At 47.2% G+C, this 19,895-nt stretch overlaps 1 protein-coding gene, 1 long non-coding RNA gene and 1 pseudogene across 10 annotated transcripts in view, besides 1 other annotated feature; 1 reads left to right on the top strand and 2 right to left on the bottom strand.

Annotated features, from left to right (window-relative positions):
• Positions 1–4,594: 4,594 nt before the first annotated feature.
• Positions 4,595–11,120, bottom strand: LOC105377073 (uncharacterized). The gene is made up of 3 exons (XR_940821.3): positions 10,701–11,120; positions 10,363–10,423; positions 4,595–4,729 (listed from the first exon to the last, which is right to left on the bottom strand). It is a non-coding gene; the product is annotated as an uncharacterized LOC105377073 (long non-coding RNA).
• Positions 9,938–19,895, top strand: part of SCAP (SREBF chaperone) — a 63,447-nt gene continuing 53,489 nt past the window's right edge. For 3 of the 9 annotated variants that reach the window (NM_001320044.2, XM_005264967.3, NM_012235.4), the window contains exon 1: positions 11,124–11,266. The gene's annotated coding sequence lies outside the window, so the exon portion shown is untranslated. Of the gene's footprint in view, positions 10,127–11,123; positions 11,643–15,549; positions 19,013–19,895 lie in introns of those variants that run through there. The other 6 variants (XM_047447740.1, XM_017005918.2, XM_047447737.1 and 3 more) reach the window with 4 other exon arrangements.
• Positions 11,037–11,576: a silencer, noted in NCBI's record as "silent region_14309". NCBI's record gives its function as "represses an Ori minimal core promoter by ATAC-STARR-seq in GM12878 lymphoblastoid cells {active_cell/tissue: GM12878}" and the evidence as "EXISTENCE:reporter gene assay evidence [ECO:0000049][PMID:35858748]".
• SPMIP3P1 (SPMIP3 pseudogene 1) lies at positions 17,078–17,288 on the bottom strand (annotated as a pseudogene).

Here is a 19,895-nt window from a genome sequence, read left to right as displayed (position 1 = left end):
GGGAATATTCACAGCTGTGTTTATTATAATAGCTGAAAAGTGGAAAAAATCCAAATGTCCATCAACTGATGATAAAAATCATCATGTAGTCTATCTGTGCAGTGGAATGTTAGCAGTAAAAAAAGGAATTAAAGTACTGATACATTCTGCAACATGGGTGAACCTCAAAAGCAGTATGCTAGTCGGGCACATACCGGTAGTCTCAGCTACTCAGGAGACTGAGGCAGGAGGATCACTTGAGCCCAGGAGTTCAATGCTGTAATGTGCTGTGATCATGTCTTGTGAATAGCCACTGTACTCCACCCTGGGCAACATAGTGAGACCAAAAACCATTAAGCCAGATACAAAAGATAGGCCAGGCGCAGTGGCTCACACCTGTAATCCCAGCACTTCAGGAGGCTGAGGCAGGCATATCACTTGAGGTCAGGAGTTCGAGACCAGCCTGGCCAACATGGTAAACTCTCATCTCTACTAAAAATACAAAACTTAGCCGGGTGTGTTGGTGGGCTCCTGTAATCCCAGCTACCCGGGAGGCTAAGGCAGGACAAATTGCTTGAACCCAGGAGGCGGAGGTTTACAGTGAGGCAAGATTGTGCCACTGCACTCCAGCCTGGGCGATAGAGCAATATATATATATATATATGTATATATGTGTGTATATATATATATATGTATATATGTGTATATATATATATATGTATATATGTGTATATATATATATGTGTATATATGTATATATAGTGTGTATATATATATATAGTGTGTGTGTGTGTATATTATATATATATAGTATGATTCCATGTATATGAAATGTCCAGAAAAGGCAAATCTATAGAGATAGATGATAAATTGGTAGTTGCCTGAGGCTGGGAGTGAGAATGGAAAGGGGGTGATGAAAATGTTCTAAAAGAAGATTGTGATGATAGTTTCACCATACATTTACTGAAAGTCACTGAAATATACACTGGACAATGGGTGAATTTTATGGTGTTTACATCTATTGAGGTTACGATCCTGACTCGTAACCACTTACAGCTCTCCTGTAGTAACAAACAGCCCTCAAATCCCAGTTGGCTTAAAACGGACAGCACATTCCTCACTCACATTACATATAGGGGACCATGGGTAATGTGCTGCAGTTCTGCTCCACATGGCTTCTCATCCTGGCACCTGGTCTGAAGGAACAGTTCCAACACAGGACTATGTTCTCCTGGCTAAGGGGAAGAACAAGAGGCACATTCACACAAGCAGTGGCTCTTAAAGCTTCTGCTAGACTTGGTGTAGGTCGTGTTCACTCACGCTTTATTGGCCAAGGCTGACAATGGAGAGGGGAGGTGCACTCATCCAGCCAGGAGGCTCTACAGCCACTGGACATTGGGCAAGGGGTGCATGTGTATGATTGATCAGCTTACAGAGAAGACAACAACGAAATAACTGACTATAGTGATCTTACTCAAGTGATTGGACATTTCTTATTTCTTTCTTTTTTTTTTTTTTTTTTTTTTGAGACAGAGTCTCGCTCTGTCGCCCAGGCTGGAGTGCAGTGGCGCGATCTCGGCTCACTGCAAGCTCCGCCTCCTGTGTTCACGCCACTCTTCTGCCTCAGCCTCCTGAGTAGCTGGGACTACAGGCACCCGCCACCACGCCCAGCTAATTTTTGGTATTCTCAGTAGAGAAGGGGTTTCTTTTCTTTTCTTCTTTTTTTTTTTTTGAGATGGAGTCTAGCTCTGTTGGCCAGGCTGGAGTGCAGTGGTGCGATCTCGGCTCACTGCAAGCTCCACCTCCCGGGTTCACGCCATTCTCCTGCCTCAGCCTCCCGAGTAGCTGGGACTACAGGTGCCCGCCACCACACCCGGCTAATTTTTGTATTTTTAGTAAAGACGGGGTTTCACCTTGTTAGCCAGGATGGTCTCGATCTCCTGACCTCATGATCTGACCACCTTGGCGTCTCAAAGTGTTGGGATTACAAGCGTGATCCACCTCGCCTGGCCGCGATTGGACATTTCTAGGCCCCAGTTTGTTTTAGTTATAAAATCGGGAGACAAGCTGGCCGTGGTGGCTCACACCTGTAATCCCAACACTGGGAGGCCAAGGCGGGCGGATCACGAGATCAGAAGATCGAGACCATCCTGGCTAACACGGTGAAAACCCGTCTCTACTAAAAATACAAAAAATTAGCCCGGCATGGTGGCGGGCGTCTGTAGTCCCAGCTACTCTGGAGGGTGAGGCAGGACAATGGCGTGAACCCGGGAGGCGGGGCTTGCAGTGAGCCGAGATTACGCCACTGCACTCCAGCCTGGGCGACAGAGCGAGACTCCGTCTCAAAAAAAAAAAAAAAAAAAATGGGGAGAAAAGAGTGCCCATTTCATGGGTTTTATTGGGGTTGTTAGGATAAGTAAGCAATGACATATAAAGTAGGCCTGGTAACTGGTTTAAGGATTAGCCACTGCTGCTGTTCTTTTTATTAATTATTATTATTATTTTTTGAGACTGAGTCTTGCTCTGTCACCCAGGCTGGAGTGCAGTGGCATGATCTCGGCTCACTGCAGCCTCTGCCTCCTGGGTTCAAGCAATTCTCCTGCCTCAGCCTCCCGAGTAGCTGAGACCACAGGCGTGCACCACCACGCCCAGCTAATTTTTGTATTTTTAGTAGAGATGGGGTTTCCATGTTGGCCAGGCTGGTCTCGAACTCCTGACCTCAGGTGATCTGCCCACCTCGGCCTCACAAAGTGCTAGGATTACAGGCATGAGCCACCACGCCTGGCTGACTGCTGTTGTTCTTATTGCCTGACAAGCTCTTACCCTATAAGGCCCTACCCAAAATCACATCAGCACCTTCTTCATGATTCCTGGTCTTTGGTTTCCAATTCCCTTTTCCTCATAGCATTTGGAAGCTCAGTGGCAGAAGTCCAGGGGCTTTGGGGATAGGTGGATCAACATGTGATGATGCCTCTGCAACACAGCAACTGTGGAACCTCAGAGAAGTTGTCAGAGCTCTGGATGCAATGGTTTTTACAACTTAAAATGGGGTTTATCGGCCAGGCGCGGTGGCTCATGCCTATAGTCCCAGCACTTTGGGAGGCCGAGGCGGGTGGATCACCTGAGGTCAGGAGTTAGAGACCAGCCTGGCCAACATGGCGGAACCCCGTCTCTACTGAGAAAACAAAAAACAAAAATTAACCAGGCATGGTGGCGTGTGCCTGTAATCCCAGCTACCGGGGGCGGCTGAAGCAGGAGGATCGCTTGAACCTGGGAGGCGGAGCTTGCAGTGAGCTGAGTTCCTGCCACTGCTCTCCAGCCTGGGCAGCAGAGCGAGACTCCGTCTCAAAAAAATAAAAATAAAAAAGAAGGGGTTTATCTTACCTGCCTCTAAAGGTCATCACAAGGATTATTTGAGATAAATATATTGTAAAACCTGCTTCTGGCAAGAACCCAACAATCAATAATTGGTTATTATTATGGGCTATTATGACCTCTGTAATAAACCTTATATTTCCTATAAGGTTTTGTTTAAAGGTTCAACACTAAGACAGTTAACTTCTTTAGTACAGGAAATTAACTTATTGTATTCCTGGTCTCTGACACATGGTAGGAATTTGATAGGTAATAAAGACATTGAATAAATGTATTCATTCAACTTTGACATTTTAAATATTTTTAAATGATTGTATCATGGTTATTGAAGCTACCATTGGGGCCAGGTGCGGTGGCTTATGCCTGTAATCCCAGCATTTTGGAAAGCCAAGGTGGGCGGATCACGAGGTCAAGAGATTGAGACCATCCATCCTGGCCAACATGGTGAAACCCTGTCTCTACTAAAAATACAAAAATTAGCTGGCTGTGGTGGCGCGTGCCTGCAGTCCCAGCTACTCAGGAGGCTGAGGCAGGAGACTTACTTGAATCCAGGAGGTGGAGGTTGCAATGAGCTGAGATCGCGCCACTGCACTCCAGCCTGGGCGACAGAGTGAGACTCTATCTCAAAAAAAAAAAAAAGCTGGGCGCGGTGGCTCACGCCTGTAATCCCAGCACTTTGGGAGGCCAAGGCAGGCGGATCACGAGGTCAGGAGATCGAGACCATCCTGGCTAACATGGTGAAAACCCGTCTCTACTAAAAATACAAAAAATTAGCTGGGCATGGTGGTGGGCGCCTGTAGTCCCAGCTACTCGGGAGGCTGAGGCAGGAGAATGGTGTGAACCCGGGAGGCGGAGCTTGCAGTGAGCTGAGATTACTCCACTGCACTTCAGCCTGGGCGACAGAGCGAGACTCCATCTCAAAAAAAAAAAAAAAAGCTACCGTTTATTTCAGTGTAGGCATTTTACATGTGTTCACCCTCCAATTTTATTGTTTTCAAAACCCACAGCTGTTGGTGTTGTTTGCATCTTGGAACCTGACTCCTAATTCGAGGTTCCCTGAGGTGAAGTTAATTCTCCCAGCCACAGAGGTACTGCTTGTGTCAGAGCCAGGATTTGAATAAAAGGAGTCTGGCCCTGAAGCAGCTCTTTCCACTTTAAGATGTTGCCAGCTGCTATCACTAATGGCTAATTCATGATAAGCATGATCCTCAGTGTGAGTGATTGCAAAGACACATCCACATAATCATGAAACTCCTTTATTGTGCTCATGACAGGGTGAGGCAGCTGGGCAGTGGGCTGGAACCTGGAGTCTTGGGTCCCAGAAGGCGGCCCTCTGTTCAGTTCTCAGAGTGACCTTGGACACATCATCTCCTCTCTGCAGAGAAATTTTCTACATTTGTAAAATAAACTTAGCCTCTATATTTCAAGATTGTTCTGAGGATTAATTGAGATCAGGTTTGAGAATTGGCCCAGGGTAGAAGCTCAAGTATTAGAAATTGTTATCATTTCTTGATTTCCATGCCACATTTAGTTTTTAAAGTTTTTGAATTTACCTTTCTTTTTTTTTTTTTTTTTTTTTTTTGAGACAGTGTGATACCTTACCTTGTTTTAATATGAATAGACTCTTCCTTAGCTGAGAAAGCCGGACAGACTCCATTTGGCTCCTTCATTTGCAAGACATCAAGGGCTCCTTACCCACCCCCTTCCTCAAGGACTTAACTTGTGCAAGCTGACTCCCAGCACATCAAAAAGTGCAATTAACTGATAAGGTACTGTGGCAAGCTCTGTCCACAGTTCCCAGAAATTCGCTCAGGTGATAGTATCCTAAGCCCCCGCATTTGTGTCCTGTAGATAGCACCCAGAGCCCACGCACCTATCACCTTGTGATGAATTTAAAGCCCCTGCACCTGGAACTGTTTTCCTGTAACCATTTGTCTTTTTAACTTTTTTTGCCTGTTTTTACTTCTGTGAGATTGCTTCAACTCGATTTCCCTTCCCCTTGCCAAACCAAAGTATAAAAGAAAATCTAGACCCTTCTTTGGGGCTGAGAGAATTTTGAGTGCTAGCCGTCTCTCGGTCACTGGCTAATAAAGGACTCCTCAATTCATCTCAAAGTGTGGTGTTTCTCTATAACTCACTCGGTTACAACAACAGAGTCTCACTCTGTTGCCCAGGCTGGAGTGCAGTGTCGTGATCTCAGATCATTGCAACCTCCGTCTCCCAGGTTCAAGGGATTCTCATCCCTCAGCCTCCCAAGTAGCTGGGATTACAGGCATGCATCACCATGCCTGGCTCATTTATGTATTTTTAGTAGAGATGGGGTTTCACCATGTTGGGAGGCTGGTCTCGAACTCCTGACCTTAAGTGATCCGCCCGCCTTGGCCTCCCGAAGTGCTGGGATTACAGGCGTGAGCCACCATGCCTGGCCTGAATTCAAATTCACCTTTCTTTTTTTTTTTTTTTTCGAGACGGAGTCTCGCTCTTTCTCCCAGGCTGGAGTGCAGTGGCGCAATCTTGGCTCACTGCAAGCTCTGCCTCCCAGGTTCACGCCATTCTTCTGCCTCAGCCTCCCCAGTAGCTGGGACTACAGGCGCCCGCCACCACGCCTGGCTAATTTTTTGTATTTTCTTTAGTAGAGACGGGGTTTCACCATGTTAGCCAGCATGGTCTCAATCTCCTGACCTCGTGATCCGCCTGCCTTGGCCTCCCAAAGTGCTGGGATTACAGGCATGAGCCATCGTGCCCGGCCTGAATTCACCTTTCTTATGGGGAACAATCTGAAGTAAAGTTGAGCTCTACCTAGTTAGGGCTAAATGGAACTGTTCCATTTGATTTACTATATATAAAAACTAAAATCAGGTTTCTGCAACTTAACTGGAAGTGCATCAAAAATAAGATAGGGGCTGGGTATGGTGGCTCACACCTATAATCCTAGCACTTGTGGAGGCCAAGATGGGAGAGTTGCCTGAGGCCAAGAGTTCAAGACCAGCCTGGGCAACAGAGAGACCCTCATCTCTATTTAAAAAACTCTGAAATTTAGCTGGGAGTGGTCATACCCACCTGTGGTCCCAGCTACTTGGGAAGCTTGCTTGAGCCCAGGAGGTCAAGGCTGCAGTGAGCTGTGATTGTGCCACCGCATTCCAGCCTGGACCATAGAGCAATACCCTATCTCTTAAAATAAAGGATTGATACGAAATCACCTTTGCAAAATTATGGCAGTAAGAAAAACCTGACATGGTTGACTCCATGTTGCTTCCTTTTCTTTTTCTTTTTTTTCTCTCAGCGTGTTGCTCTTGTTGCCCAGGCTGGAGTGCAATGGCACGATCTCGGCTCACCACAACTTCTGCCTCCCAGGTTCAAGCTATTCTCCTGCCTCAGTCTCCTGAGTAGCTGGGATTACAGGCATGCGCCACCACACCTGGCTAATTTTGTATTTTTAGTAGAGACAGGGTTTCTCCATGTTGGTCAGGCTGGTCTCGAACTCCTGCTCAGGTGATCTGCCTGCCTCGGCCTCCCAAAATGCTGGGATTACAGGAGTGAACCACCGTGCCCAGCTCTATCTTGCTTCTAACCTCCAACCTGGGGATAGGCGAAGGTAACTTTGGGAGGAATTTATAGTTCAACCTTAAAGCAAGGATGACATTAGCCCTCTCCAAAACTAAACCGCCTTTGTAAAACTAATGAAAAGCCACAAGTCTAGGATTTTTATAGGAGGGGCCTGAATTCTGCTAAGGTGTAGGTGTAGTTAAATGATAACCAGTCATTGCTCTGGAAGTCACAAGATTTGTAACTTCCTCAGTTACTCCTATAGATAACATCACTATTGTAGAACCTAAGACTTGCCTTTTGAGATGTTTCTTTTCTTTCTTTCTTTCTTTCTTTCTTTTTTTTTTTTTTTTTTTTTTGAGACAGAGTCTCGTTCTGTTGCCCAGGCTAGAGTGCAGCGGCATGATCTCGGCTCACTGCAAGCTCCGCCTCCTGGGTTCATGCTATTCTCCTGCCTCAGCCCCCAGAGTAGCTGGGACTACAGGTGCCCGCCACCACACCCGGCTAATTTTTTGTATATTTAGTAGAGGCGGGGTTTCACCGTGTTAGCTAGGAAGGTCTCGATCTCCTGATCTCGTGATCCACCTGCCTCAGCCTCCCAAAGTGCTGGGATTACAGGCGTGAGCCACCGCGCCCGGCCTTGAGGTGTTTCTTTTCAGACTTTTGCATTTCTGCTGACTCCACCCAGAGGCTGACTCAGCGCTTGAGGACTCCTCCTATGATTGCATCCCCAACCAATCAACATTTCCCATTCCCTAGCACCCTGCCTACCAAACTATCCTTGAAAAACCCTGACCTCTAAGCCTTTGGGGAGACTGATTTGAGTAACAGCTCCATCTTCTGCGTGGCCTTGTGCATCGCCAGCCTTGCGTCAGTGAAACTCTTTACTGCAATGCCAAGGCCTCAGTGAATTGATTTTGTCTGCGCAGTGGGCAAGAAGAACCCTTGGGCAATTACAGATAGATGAATAAAAGGATAGATTTTTTTAGATAGACATGAGATACTAAGCAAAACATTAATAGTTGAATCTAGGGTATATGAGTGTTCACTCTATGGTTCTTTCAACTTTTCTGTTATGTTTTCATATTAAATGTTGTAGGAGGCTGGGCATGGTGGGTCATACCTGTAATCCCGGGATTACAGCGGGTGGATCGATTGGGCCCAGGAGTTCGAGACCAGCCTGGGCAACATGGCAAAAACCTCGTCTCTACTAAAAATACAAAAATAAACCTGGCGCGATGGCGCAAGCCTGTAGTCCCAGCTACTCAAGAGGTTGAGGCACGGGAATCGCTGGAACCTGAGAGGTGGAGGTTGCAGTGAGCCAAGATTGTGCCACTGTGCTCCAGCCTGGGTGACAGAGACTTGGTCTCAAAAAAAAAAAAAAAAGGGCCAGGTGAGGTGGCTCACGCCCGTAATCCCAGCACTTTGAGAGGCTGAGGCGGGTGGATCCCACCTGAGATCAGGAGTTTGAGACAGCCTGGCCAACATGGCGAAACTCTGTCTCTACTAAAAATGCAAAAAAAAATTAGCCAGGCATGGTGGCGCACACCTATAATCCCAGCTACTCAGGAGGCTGAGGTGGGAGAATCACTTGAACCTGGGAGGGGGAGGTTGCTGTGAGCCAACACCTCACCACTGCACTCCAGCCTGGACAACAGAATGAGACTGTGTCTCAAAAAAAAAAAATGTTGTGGGAGAAGCCCAAAAATCATGTCCACTTCATTATATTCCATGGGGGGCATTCTGTAGCAGATTTACCAGGGCCCCATAAACCCCAGCTTCCCCAGAGGCTCCACAGGATTCTCAGTGGGTTCTCTTAGGGCAGTGGAGGATTGTTTGCCATGCTTCAAGGCACAAAGGTACTTAGCTAGGTGCTTGTCAGTTTTGGAGCCTCTTATTTTTTGTGGGGGAGTGTCCAGACTTCACTGAGGGTCAGTCCTCTGCAAACACAGCTTTGATGGAGTGGTTGGGTGGGAAGAGGTGGTGAGTGAGGAGAATGACAGCAGTTCCCAAGGCAGTCTGGCTAAGTCCTGCCATGGAGGTGGTTAAAAGACAGGCTCCTGACCCTCTCTGGAGAGAAGACTTTGGTACAGTGGGCCCAGGGCTCAGGAGGACTCCTTCATGCCCAAGGTTTCTGAGGGGACAAATGATGGTATTTCAAGGGATCAGACCTGGAGAGAGTGATGTCAGGATAGGTAAGGGGTGTAGGTAAGTTCCCCTGAATGCTCTCTATTGTTGCTTCTCTCTCATTTAATACAACAAACAGGATGGGCACGGTGGCTCATGCCTGTAATCCTAGCAGTTTGGGAGGCCAACATGGGAAGGCTGCTTGAGCCCAGGAGTTTGAGACCAGCCTGGGCAACACAGCAAAAGACCCCATCTTGATAAAAATAACAAAAACAAAAATGGCATGGTGGCGCTCATCTGTAGTCCTACCTTCTTGGGAGGATCACTTGAGCCCAGGAGGTTGAGGCTGCAGTGAGCTATGACCACACCACTGCACTCCAGCCTGGGTAAAGGAGTGAGACCTCAAATGTAAAAATAAAAATAACCTAAAAAATTCTTTCTTTCTTTTTTTTTTTCTTTTTTTTTTTGAGACGGAGTCTCGCTCTGTCGCCCAAGCTGGAGTGCAGTGGCATGATCTCGGCTCACTGCAAGCTCTGCCCCCCGGGTTCATGCCATTCTCCTGCTTCAGCCTCCCGAGTAGCTGGGACTACAGGCACCTGCCACCACGCCCGGCTAATTTTTTTTTTGTTTGTTTTGTATTTTTAGTAGAGATGGGGTTCCACCGTGTTAGCCAGGATGGTTTCGATCTCCTGACCTCATGATCTGCCCGTGTTGGCCTCCCAAAGTGCTGGGATTACAGGCGTGAGCCACCGCGCCCAGCGAATACTTTCTTTATAGGATCAAAATTCCCATATTAAGCCAAAAGACAATGCTGAAAATGTCATAACCCTGAAAGTCACTTTGGGCCAAGGCCCACTGTCCCCATTGTTACTTTCATTGTGACAATAGTGTGGTGGGCAAGGAGGGAGGCCAGAGTCCGGTGGGAACTGGGTTTTAGGAGGAGGTATCTGAAGAATGTGTAGTGGGTCGGGGGCTGGTGCGGTCAGAAGGGCCACCTCTAATTTCTGCCTTGCATTGGTGACTAGATCTGCACTTTCTGGAACTCCCAGAGAAGTTTGCTGGTGCCTTTGAGGGCAGGTACAGGGCCTGCCTTATCCAGGTAGCCCTGGGGTGGGTGCGGGTGTCTCGGGCAGTAGGCAGGGGCTGAGGGGAGGCTTACCTCTGACACAAGACCTGGGTACAGCAAGGGCATGCAGTAGCATGATCAAAGTCCCCCCAGAGTGGTCCGGGCAGCGTCTCTAGTTGGGCCAGAGCTGGGCAGGTGGGGACCTGTGTTTCCCTCGAGGGGAGGCAGCCTCCCCTTCCCCTTCTGTGAGGCCCTGTAACAAGACCTACCTCGGATTTTCAGGAGGGCCAAATGCGAGGACATGTACAATACCAGCTCCGCAACTGACACCTAGTAAACAGTGAACGTAGCTGTTGCTATTATAACAAATACCTGTTCCCTGTGGAAAATGGTTAAATGTCAACTTATGCTTTTAAATGTCTATAGGGAAACTAGTTTTATGGACATTATTTATTCTTCTCATCTGCATTTGCAGTGTATCTCGGCCCAGCTGCTTCTAATTTTTTGCCATTATAAAACAGGGAACATGAGCATCTTGTGCAGGGTGGGTTTTTTGTTTTTTGTCTCACTGTGGCCTCGACCTCCCGGGCTCAGGTGATCCTCCTACCTCAGCCTCCTGAGTAGCTGGGACCACAGGTGCGCGCCACCACAGCCGGCTAATTAATTTTACTTGTGGAGACGGAGGTCTCCTACGTTGCCCAAGTTGGTCTCTAACTCCTCGGCTCAAGCGATCTTCGCGCCTTGGACTCCCACAGTGTTGGGATTACAACCGCGAGCCACCGTGCCCGGCTTTCTGCAAGTTCTTGATGACCGATGAGAGCCGGTGGGCCCAAACCCGGCGGGCCCTAACCCGGCTTCACGCTCCGCCCGGCCCGGCCCGGCCCGGCCGTCCATACTTCCCTCCGGTGTCCACCAGAGGGCGAACGGGAGACGCGAATGTGGTTCGACTACGCATGCGCACGCCGCTGGGCGCACGTGCGGAGGGCGGCGGGGCGGGAGGGTAAAGGTAGGAGGTGAGAGGTGAAGGGGCGGGCACCCGGCGGCCAGGAGAGAGAGGGAGGGCGCCACGCACCGGACTGCGGGCCGAGAGCGCGCACGCCGCGCTCCGCCCCTGCTGCCGCCCCCGTCGCCGCCGCCGCCGCCGCCGCAGCTTGGGAGGTGCTGCCACCACAGGTACCGTCACGCGGGTGCTCAGGGCGCCTGCCCGCGGGCCCCAGCTCGACCCCAGCCGCGTGGAGCTGGGAGTTCCGGAATGGGGGCCGCTAGGTTCGGGGGTGCGTGGGCATGGCGCTGTCCAGCAGCCGTGCGGGCCGGCCCTGGAGACCGCAGGCCGGCAAGGAGGCAGGGCCGCGCGTCCCCACCCCCAACCCGGCCGTGTCCCTGCACCGGCCGGCCCCTGGAGCTCCGCGTCCCCACCAGACCTCCGCGGGCCCCTGGTGTGACGGGGGGAGATGCGCGGCGTCGCATCCCCTGGCCTAGTTGCTCCGGGAAGCTGTTGTAGAACCTGCTTTGGTGCTGTTTGGGTTTTCCGGAGTGCGGGGGAGAGCAGGTTCTCCACTTTGCCTCTTTTGGAAGATCTTATTGAGAGACAACGCTAGTTGCTTTGCTGGTTTTGCTTGGTTTCTAGTTTTCCGTATTGCTTAAACCTCAACTTTGCTCACTAATGTTGCTTCTGTTTACTTCTGAGTGGGTTTATGACCTCAGTATTTAACCGGCTTATAATGTCACGATAGCGTTAGTTGCAGGGAGCCCTGGCTCCGGACTGTTTGAATCACAGAAAGTTGTGCAGATGGGAATGCGGAGGGGGGGGCAGTGAGTCGCTGTGGGGGCTCTGGCAGGGGTCAGCCCCTGGTTCGGGTCACTCACTGCTCCACCTTGTATGGCGACAGTCGGAGCTAGGTGAATAAACTCTTTCTGGGGATTTTGTAATACTTATCGTGAAGCGGCCATAGAAAAGGTTTAATGTTAGCGTTGCGTGTGTTTCTTTTATTTGGCCAAAAATTTGTGGAGTTTGGTTATGCCGTGTCTTTATTGGTTTGCTGTCAGGTCAGGATATTGAGCAAAAGACTGACGCTTTTATTAGGGAGTCAGGGTCGAGGGTGTCTAGTTAGTGCTGTATCCATTTTAGGTGTTCCTCAGTGATGCCTAAAGACTTGTTTTTTGTTTGTTTGTTTGGAGACAGGGTCTCACTCTGTCTCCCAGGCTGGAGTGCAGTGGCGCGATCTCGGCTCACTGCAGCCTTGATTTCCTGGGCTCAGGTGATCCTCCCACCTCAGCCTCCCCAGTAGCTGGGACAGCAGGTGTGTGCCACCACGCCCGGCTAATTTTTGTATTTTTTTGTAGAGATGGGGGTCTTGCTGTGTTGCCCAGGCTGGTCTTTAACTCCTGGGCTCAAGCATTATACAAGCCTTGGCCTCCCAAAGTGTTGGTATTACAGGCGTGAACCACCGTGCCCGGCCAAGACCTGTATCTTTTAAAATGTGTGTTAATATAGTTTACATTTTAGGTGTTTTACACATTTGCAGTATTCCCACTGAGCACATGATGTAAAAAACACTATATAAATATATTTAACACTGTATAAATATATTTCCATATTTATTCTTTTGGTCATAAATTGAAATGGAAAGAATTAGGCTTTTTAAATTTATTATGAACTGATCTGATGTTTGAATGCTCTCTCTTTTCTTTCTTTCTTTTTTTTTTTGAGATGGAGTCTCGCTCTGTCGCCCAGGCTGGAGTGCAGTGGCGCCATCTCGGCTCACTGCACCCTCCGCCTGCCGGGTTCAAGCGATTCTCCTGCCTCAGCCTCCCAAGTAGCTGGGACTACAGGCGCCCGCCACCATGCCCGGCTACTTTTTTGTATTTTTAGTAGAGACGGGGTTTCACCGTGTTAGCCAGGATCGTCTCTATCTCCTGACCTCATGATCCGTCCGCTTCGGCCTCCCAAAGTGCTGGGATTACAGGCGTGAGCCACCGCGCCTGGCTTGAATGCTCTCTCTTTTCTTTTGCTGTTGCGGCAAAAACGCCCCCTCTCTAGAGATCTCCGTGGACTTTATAATCACTGGTTTGGGGCCCTTCCCCCGTTCCCTCAGTCACTGTCATTAGGTGGGTAAAAAGTTTACTACAAGTTTATTACTAGAAAAATGGAGGCATATGCGATTCAGGAATTAAATAAACTAAAAAAGGAAAGAAAAAGTGTGCCTGTGGGCTTCACTGCAGGTATGTATATTAACATTTGGTGGTAGACTTTAGGGATGTTTTCTCTCTCAGAATCTAGCCATGCATGTGAATGTGCCTCAGGGATCCTGGAATGACAGGTTCATGTGCTGTTTGCTTACTCTCACCATTGGTGGTTGCCAGTGTTTTACCGGCTCTGACAGGTACTTCATATACAGTTTGTGTCATCACCCCCGTTGAACAGATGAGAGGACTCCTCATAGAGAAGCTGGGTTCTTACAAGGTCACCCAGCTTGTCAAGGGTGGATCATCCTTCAAACCAGGTCTGCCACACCTCTGCCACCTGAGCTCCTTCCGTTAGAACTTGCTACCTTACTGAGTTGGCTAAAGAAACAAGGTTCAGGTGTCGTCTTTTGCCACTCAGAGTAATAATTCTGGGTGATATCGAGCACTTGTGCTGTTTAGGCAGTGTCCTAGGTACTGTAATATTAGCTTATCTCACTTAGTTTTCATAATAACCAGGTGAGATAACACTGTTATCACCCCCTTTACGGAGAGTTTTAGAAAAGTTATTTGACTGGCCCTGGGTCACCTAGCGAATTTGAGACGGAGTGTGTTGTGTGCAAACTGAGATTTGGCTGACAAAAGAGTCCATCCTTTTATGCTGTTCTTGTACCTGCTTCCACAGTCTGTTTTTTTTTTTTTTTTTTTGAGATGGAGTTTCGCTCTTCTTGCCCAGGCTGGAGTGCAATGGCGTGATCTCAGCTCACTGCAACCTCCGCCTCCCAGGTTCAAGCGATTCTCCTGCCTCAGCCTCCTGAGTAGCTGGGATTACAGGCATGCACTACCACGCCTGGCTAATTTTGTATTTTTAGTAGAGGCGAGGTTTCTCCCTATTGGTCAGGCTGGTCTCAGACTCCCGATCTCAGGTGATCCGCCCGCCTCGGCCTCCCAAAGTGCTGGGATTACAGGCGTGAGCCACTGCACGCAGCCCACAGTCTTTTCTGTTGCTCATTGGCAGGTAAGGGTAGTGGAAGAAGGTGGTAGGGGTGGTGGGAGGAAGCCAGCGTCACTGACTCTAGTGTGGGGATGGTGGAACTCAGCAAGAAGGTGACAGCAATTTGACCACTGCCATTTGACAGTTTCTGCTTAAGCAGTCAAGGGCACTAACCTAGAATGGTTGCAGGGATGCTAAATCATAAGGAAGCTTTGCAGTGGGGTCCAAAGTTGGTATGTAAGCATAAAGATGCACGTGGATCTCAGGAAAAAAATAAAACTAATTTTCCTGTTTATTTCAGCTTCATTTAATTATTATTATTATTATTATTATTTTATTTTATTTTTTTTTTTTGAGACGGAGTCTCGCTCTGTCGCCCAGGCCGGACTGCGGACTGCAGTGGCGCAATCTCGGCTCACTGCAAGCTCCGCTTCCCGGGTTTACGCCATTCTCCTGCCTCAGCCTCCCGAGTAGCTGGGACTACAGGCGCCCGCCACCGCGCCCGGCTAATTTTTTTGTATTTTTAGTAGAGACGGGGTTTCACCTTGTTAGCCAGGATGGTCTCGATCTCCTGACCTCATGATCCACTCGCCTCGGCCTCCCAAAGTGCTGGGATTACAGGCGTGAGCCACCGCGCCCGGCCCCATTTAATTATTATTATTATTTTTTTGAGATGGAGTCTCACTCAATCTGTTGCCCAGGCTGGAGTGCATTGATGCTATCTTGGTTTACTGCAATCTTGGTCTCCTGCCTCAGCCTCCCGAGTAGCTGGGATTACAGCTGTGCACCACCACACCTGGCTAATTTTGTATTTTTAGTAGAGATGGGGTTTCACCATATTGGTTAGGCTGGTCTCAAACTCCTGGCCTCAAGTGATCCACCCACCTTAACCTCCCAAAGTGCTGGGATTACAGGCATGAACCACCATAATAATTTTTATTATGTACTTTATAATGTACACTGTATTATCACTGTAGTACATATATAATTTATATGTAAGTGTACATGTATTGGGAGCATATACTTGAATTTTTGTTGTTGGGCATTCATGATCAAAACATTTGGGAACCAGTGGCTTATTTGATATTTAGCATTTTCAGAAAGCATAAAATATACAAGGTGTTGGCCAGGCACAGTGGCTCATGCCTGTAATCTCAGCACTTTGGGAGGCTGAGGAGGGTGGATCACCTGAGGTCAGGAGTTCGAGACCAGCCTGACCAACATGTGTGAAACCCCGTCTCCACTATAAATACAAAAGTTAGCCAGGTGTGGTGGCATGCGCCTGTAGTATACCTCTAAGTATACTAGAACTATGTTGATGTTTTCCTCTCTCTGCCTTGGCCACTAGGAAGCTCAGAGTCAAGTTTGTATCCAGGGTCTTCCAGCTTGTGCTTAAGTGTTTTAATCGTCTAGATTGTTTTTAATGGTTTCTGCTCTTTGTCTCAGGTTTTACTATAAAATACATAACACATTTCCTTCCCGTTCTAAATATTACTGTGATTGTATTCTTATAGCCAAATCTTTGTTCTTATTCTTATTTTATTTTATTTTTTATACTGTTGAATCCCTCTGAGCCTTGCCTTTCCCTGCCTCCTCTTCTGTACTCATTTTTGCTAAAATTTGTAAGGGGATAAATTCTTGAAAAGCTTTGCACATTTTGAAGACTTGTTTGTTTTTTAATATTTATTATAGTAAAACTCAAATATACATCCAAATAGAGAGCAATAAGCCCTTGTGTACCTATCACTCAGTTATGTCTGTCACTTAGTCATTAACTTGGGGACACTCTTGTTTCATCTATATCCTTTAATCCTCATTATACTTTTTTTTGGGGGGAGAAGTTTATTAATTGATAGGTGTTACTTTGGGGTAAATGAGGAGGGAGCCCACTAGTATGCTGGGGAACTGGTAAGGTTTTTTTGTTTTTTTCTTGAAACAGAGTCTTGCTCTTGTCGCCCAGGCTGGAGTGCAGTGGTGCGATCTCGGCTCACTGCAACCTTCGCCCCCCTGGGTTCAAGCGACTCTCCTGCCTCAGCCTCCCAAGTAGCTGGGATTACAGGCACCTGCCACCACACCTGGCTAGTTTTTGTACTTTTAGTAGATGGGATTTCACCATGTTGGCCAGGCTAGTCTTGAACTCCTGACCTCCGGTGATCTGCCTGCCTCGGCCTCCCAAAGTGTTGGGATTATAGGCGTGAGCCACTGCGCCCCGCAAAGGTTCTTTTCTTTGGGATCCTTTCCTGTCCTTAGAGAAGACCCTTTAGCTTTCTGCCTGAGGAGCTGATGCCTAGTTGTCAGGCTTTCTTCTTGCCCAGATAAGGGTGTTAACTCCTGTGTACAGATGTTCACTTAATCCTTTTTACCAGTCCCACATCTCACTATAGCCCTATGCTACACCTGGGTTTCTCCATCCCAAGCCCCTTTAGGGTCTCTAGTGCCAGTCTTCTTCCTCATTGGCTATGTCCCCTAGGTTCTTTTTTATTTTTCCCAACGGTGATGCACTTACTGAGCAGATGCAGTAATCTTCTTACCTGAGCCTACATATAACCATTGGCCTAAATGTATGATGGTTTGCCAGCATCAGCAATAAGACTGGTAATGGGGTAAAAAACAAGTTCTCTTAAGGCTAGCTCTTGATCCCCTGTTGTAAGCTGACCAACTTAATCTGAAAATAATTTGCAGCATGTAAATATTTTAGGATTAGAGCCATCTGTATACACACTTAAAAGTAGTTTTGCTACCATTACATTAGTCTAAAAGAGTTACCTAAGAATGCCAAACGATATTTTGTTCGAATGCCTTGGTTATTTTAATTTAAAAGCATTTCTTTCAAAACCGCTTCTCTCTTCACAATAGTAGAGCTGTGGCAGTGAACTAAGAGGTCAAGGATTCAGTGAATCTGTGGCTAATTTCTTGTTCCAATCTGAGAGCTCTCTTTGCACTATGATCAAAATGGAGTCTTGCCAACTGCCCAGGGTAATAGCCTTGCAAGTCTCTTCCTTGTTGAGCAATGAATATAAGTTCCACATGGCTGGGGAGGCCTCACAATCATGGCAGAAGGTGAAAGAGGAGCAAAGGCATGTCTTACATGGTGGCAGGCAAGCCTCTTCTCATTATACTTTTAAAATTATTTGGTGGCTGGGTGCAGTGGCTCATGCCTGTAATCCCAGCACTTTGGGAGGCCAAGGTGGGTGGATCACTTGAGGTCAGAAGTTCAAGACCAGCTTGGCCAACATGGTGAAACCTTGCCTGTACTAAAAATACAAAAATTAGCAGGGTCATGGTGGCACGCACCTGTAATTCTAGCTACTTGGGAAGCTGAGGAAGAATTGTTTGGACCCAGAGGTAAAGGTTGCAGTGAGCCAGGATCGTGTCACAGCACTCCAGCCTGGGTGACCGAACAAGACTCTCAAAACAAACAAACAAAAATTATTTGGTGATTTTTTTTTTGAGACGGAGTCTCCTTGTCACTCAAGCTGGAATGCAACGGCGTGGTCTCTGCTCACCGCAACCTTTGCCTCCCGGTTCAAGCGATTCTTCTGTCTCAGCTTACCAAGTAGCTGGGACTACAGGCATGTGCCACCACACCCGGCTAATTTTTGTATTTTTTGTAGAGATAGGGTTTCACCATGTTGGCCAGGCTGGTCTTGAACTCCTGACCTCAAGTGATCTGCCCACCTTGGCATCCCCAAGTGCTGGGATTGCAGGTGTGAGCCAACGTGCCTGGCCCATTTTAACCATTTTTAAGTGTACTATTTAGTGACATTAAATGTATTCACATTGTTATGCAACCATCATCACTATCCATTTCCAGAATGTTTTCATTATTCTACATAGAAACTATCGATCCAGGAGCCATATGTAGAAAGCTGAAACTGGATCCCTTCCTTACACCTTATACAAAAATCAATTCAAGATGGATTAAAGACTTAAATGTTAGACCTAAAACCATAAAAACCCTAGAAGAAAACCTAGGCAATACCATTCAGGCCATAGGCATGGGCAAGGACTTCATGACTAAAACACCAAAAGCAATGGCAACAAAAGCCAAAATTGACAAATGGGATCTAATTAAACTAAAGAGCTTCTACACAGCAAAAGAAACTACCATCAGACTGAACAGGCAACCTACAGAGTGGGAGAAAATTTTTACAATCTACCCATCTGACAAAGGGCTAATATCCAGAATCTACAAAGAACTTAAACAGATTTACAAGAAAAAAATCAAACAACCCTATCAAAAAGTGGGTGAAGCATATGAACAGACACTTCTCAAAAGAAGACATTTATGCAGCCAACAGACACATGAAAAAATGCTTGTCGTCACTGGCCATCAGAGAAATGCAAATCAAAACCACAATGAGATACCCTCACACCAGTTAGAATGGGGATCATTAAAAAGTCAGGAAACAACAGGTGCTGGAGAGGATGTGGAGAAATAGGAACCCTTTTACACTGTTGGTGGGACTGTAAACTAGTTCAACCATTGTGGAAGACAGTGTGGCGATTCCTCAAGGATCTAGAACTAGAAATACCATTTGACCCAGCCATCCCATTACTGGGCATATACCCAAAGGATTATAAATCATGCTGCTATAAAGGCACATGCACACGTATGTTTATTACGGCACTATTCACAATAGCAAAGACTTGGAACCAACCCAAATGTCCATCAATGATAGACTGGATTAAGAAAATGTGGCACATATACACCATGGAATACTATGCAGCCATAAAAAAAGGTGAGTTCATGTCCTTTATAGGTACATGGATGAAGCTGGAAACCATCATTCTGAGCAAACTATCGCAAGGACAGAAAACCAAACACCGCATGTTCTCACTCATAGGTGGGAATTGAACAATGAGAACACCTGGACATGGGAACATCACTCACCAGGGCCTGCCGGGGGATGGGGGGAGGGGGGAGGGATAGCATTAGGAGATAAACCTAATGTAAATGACGAGTTAACGGGTGCAGCACACCAACATGGCACATGTATGCATATGTAACAAACCTGTATGTTGTGCACATGTACCCAAGGGCCAGTGGGTGGGAATTGGTATCTCATTGTGATTTCAATTTGTATTTTCTAAGGAATATTGATGTTGAGCAATTTTTCATATGTTGATTGGCCATTTGTATATCTTCTTTTTTGTTGTTGTTTGGGTTTTTTTTTCTTTTTCTTTTTCTTGAGACGGGGTCTTCTTGCTCTGTTGCCCAGACTGCAGTGGCGCAATCACAGTTGACTGCAGCCTCAAGCCTCTGGTCCCAAGTGATCCTCCCACCTCAGTCTTCCAAGTAGCTGGGACTGCAGGCATGTGCCCCCATGCCTGGCTTATATTCATATTTTTTGTGGAGATGGGGTTTCACCATGTTGCCTAGGCTGGCCTTGAACTCCTGAGCTCAAGTGACCCATCCACCTCAGCCTTCCAAAGTGGTGGGATTACAGGCATGAGCCACCCCACCGAGCCTGTATATCTTCTTTAGAGAAATGTTCATTCAAGTCCTTTTCTCACTTTGAGTTATTAATTGTTATTTTGTTGTTATTGTTGAGTTGTAGGAATTCTTTACAAATTCTGGATATTAAACCCTTGTTAGATATATGATTTGTGAATAGTTTCTCC

This window comes from Homo sapiens, chromosome 3, assembly GCF_000001405.40.
Source record: "Homo sapiens chromosome 3, GRCh38.p14 Primary Assembly".
Taxonomy (NCBI): domain Eukaryota; kingdom Metazoa; phylum Chordata; class Mammalia; order Primates; family Hominidae; genus Homo; species Homo sapiens.
The sequence above is the reverse complement of the archived record's forward strand: the minus strand, read 5'-3'. Positions and strand labels throughout refer to the sequence as shown.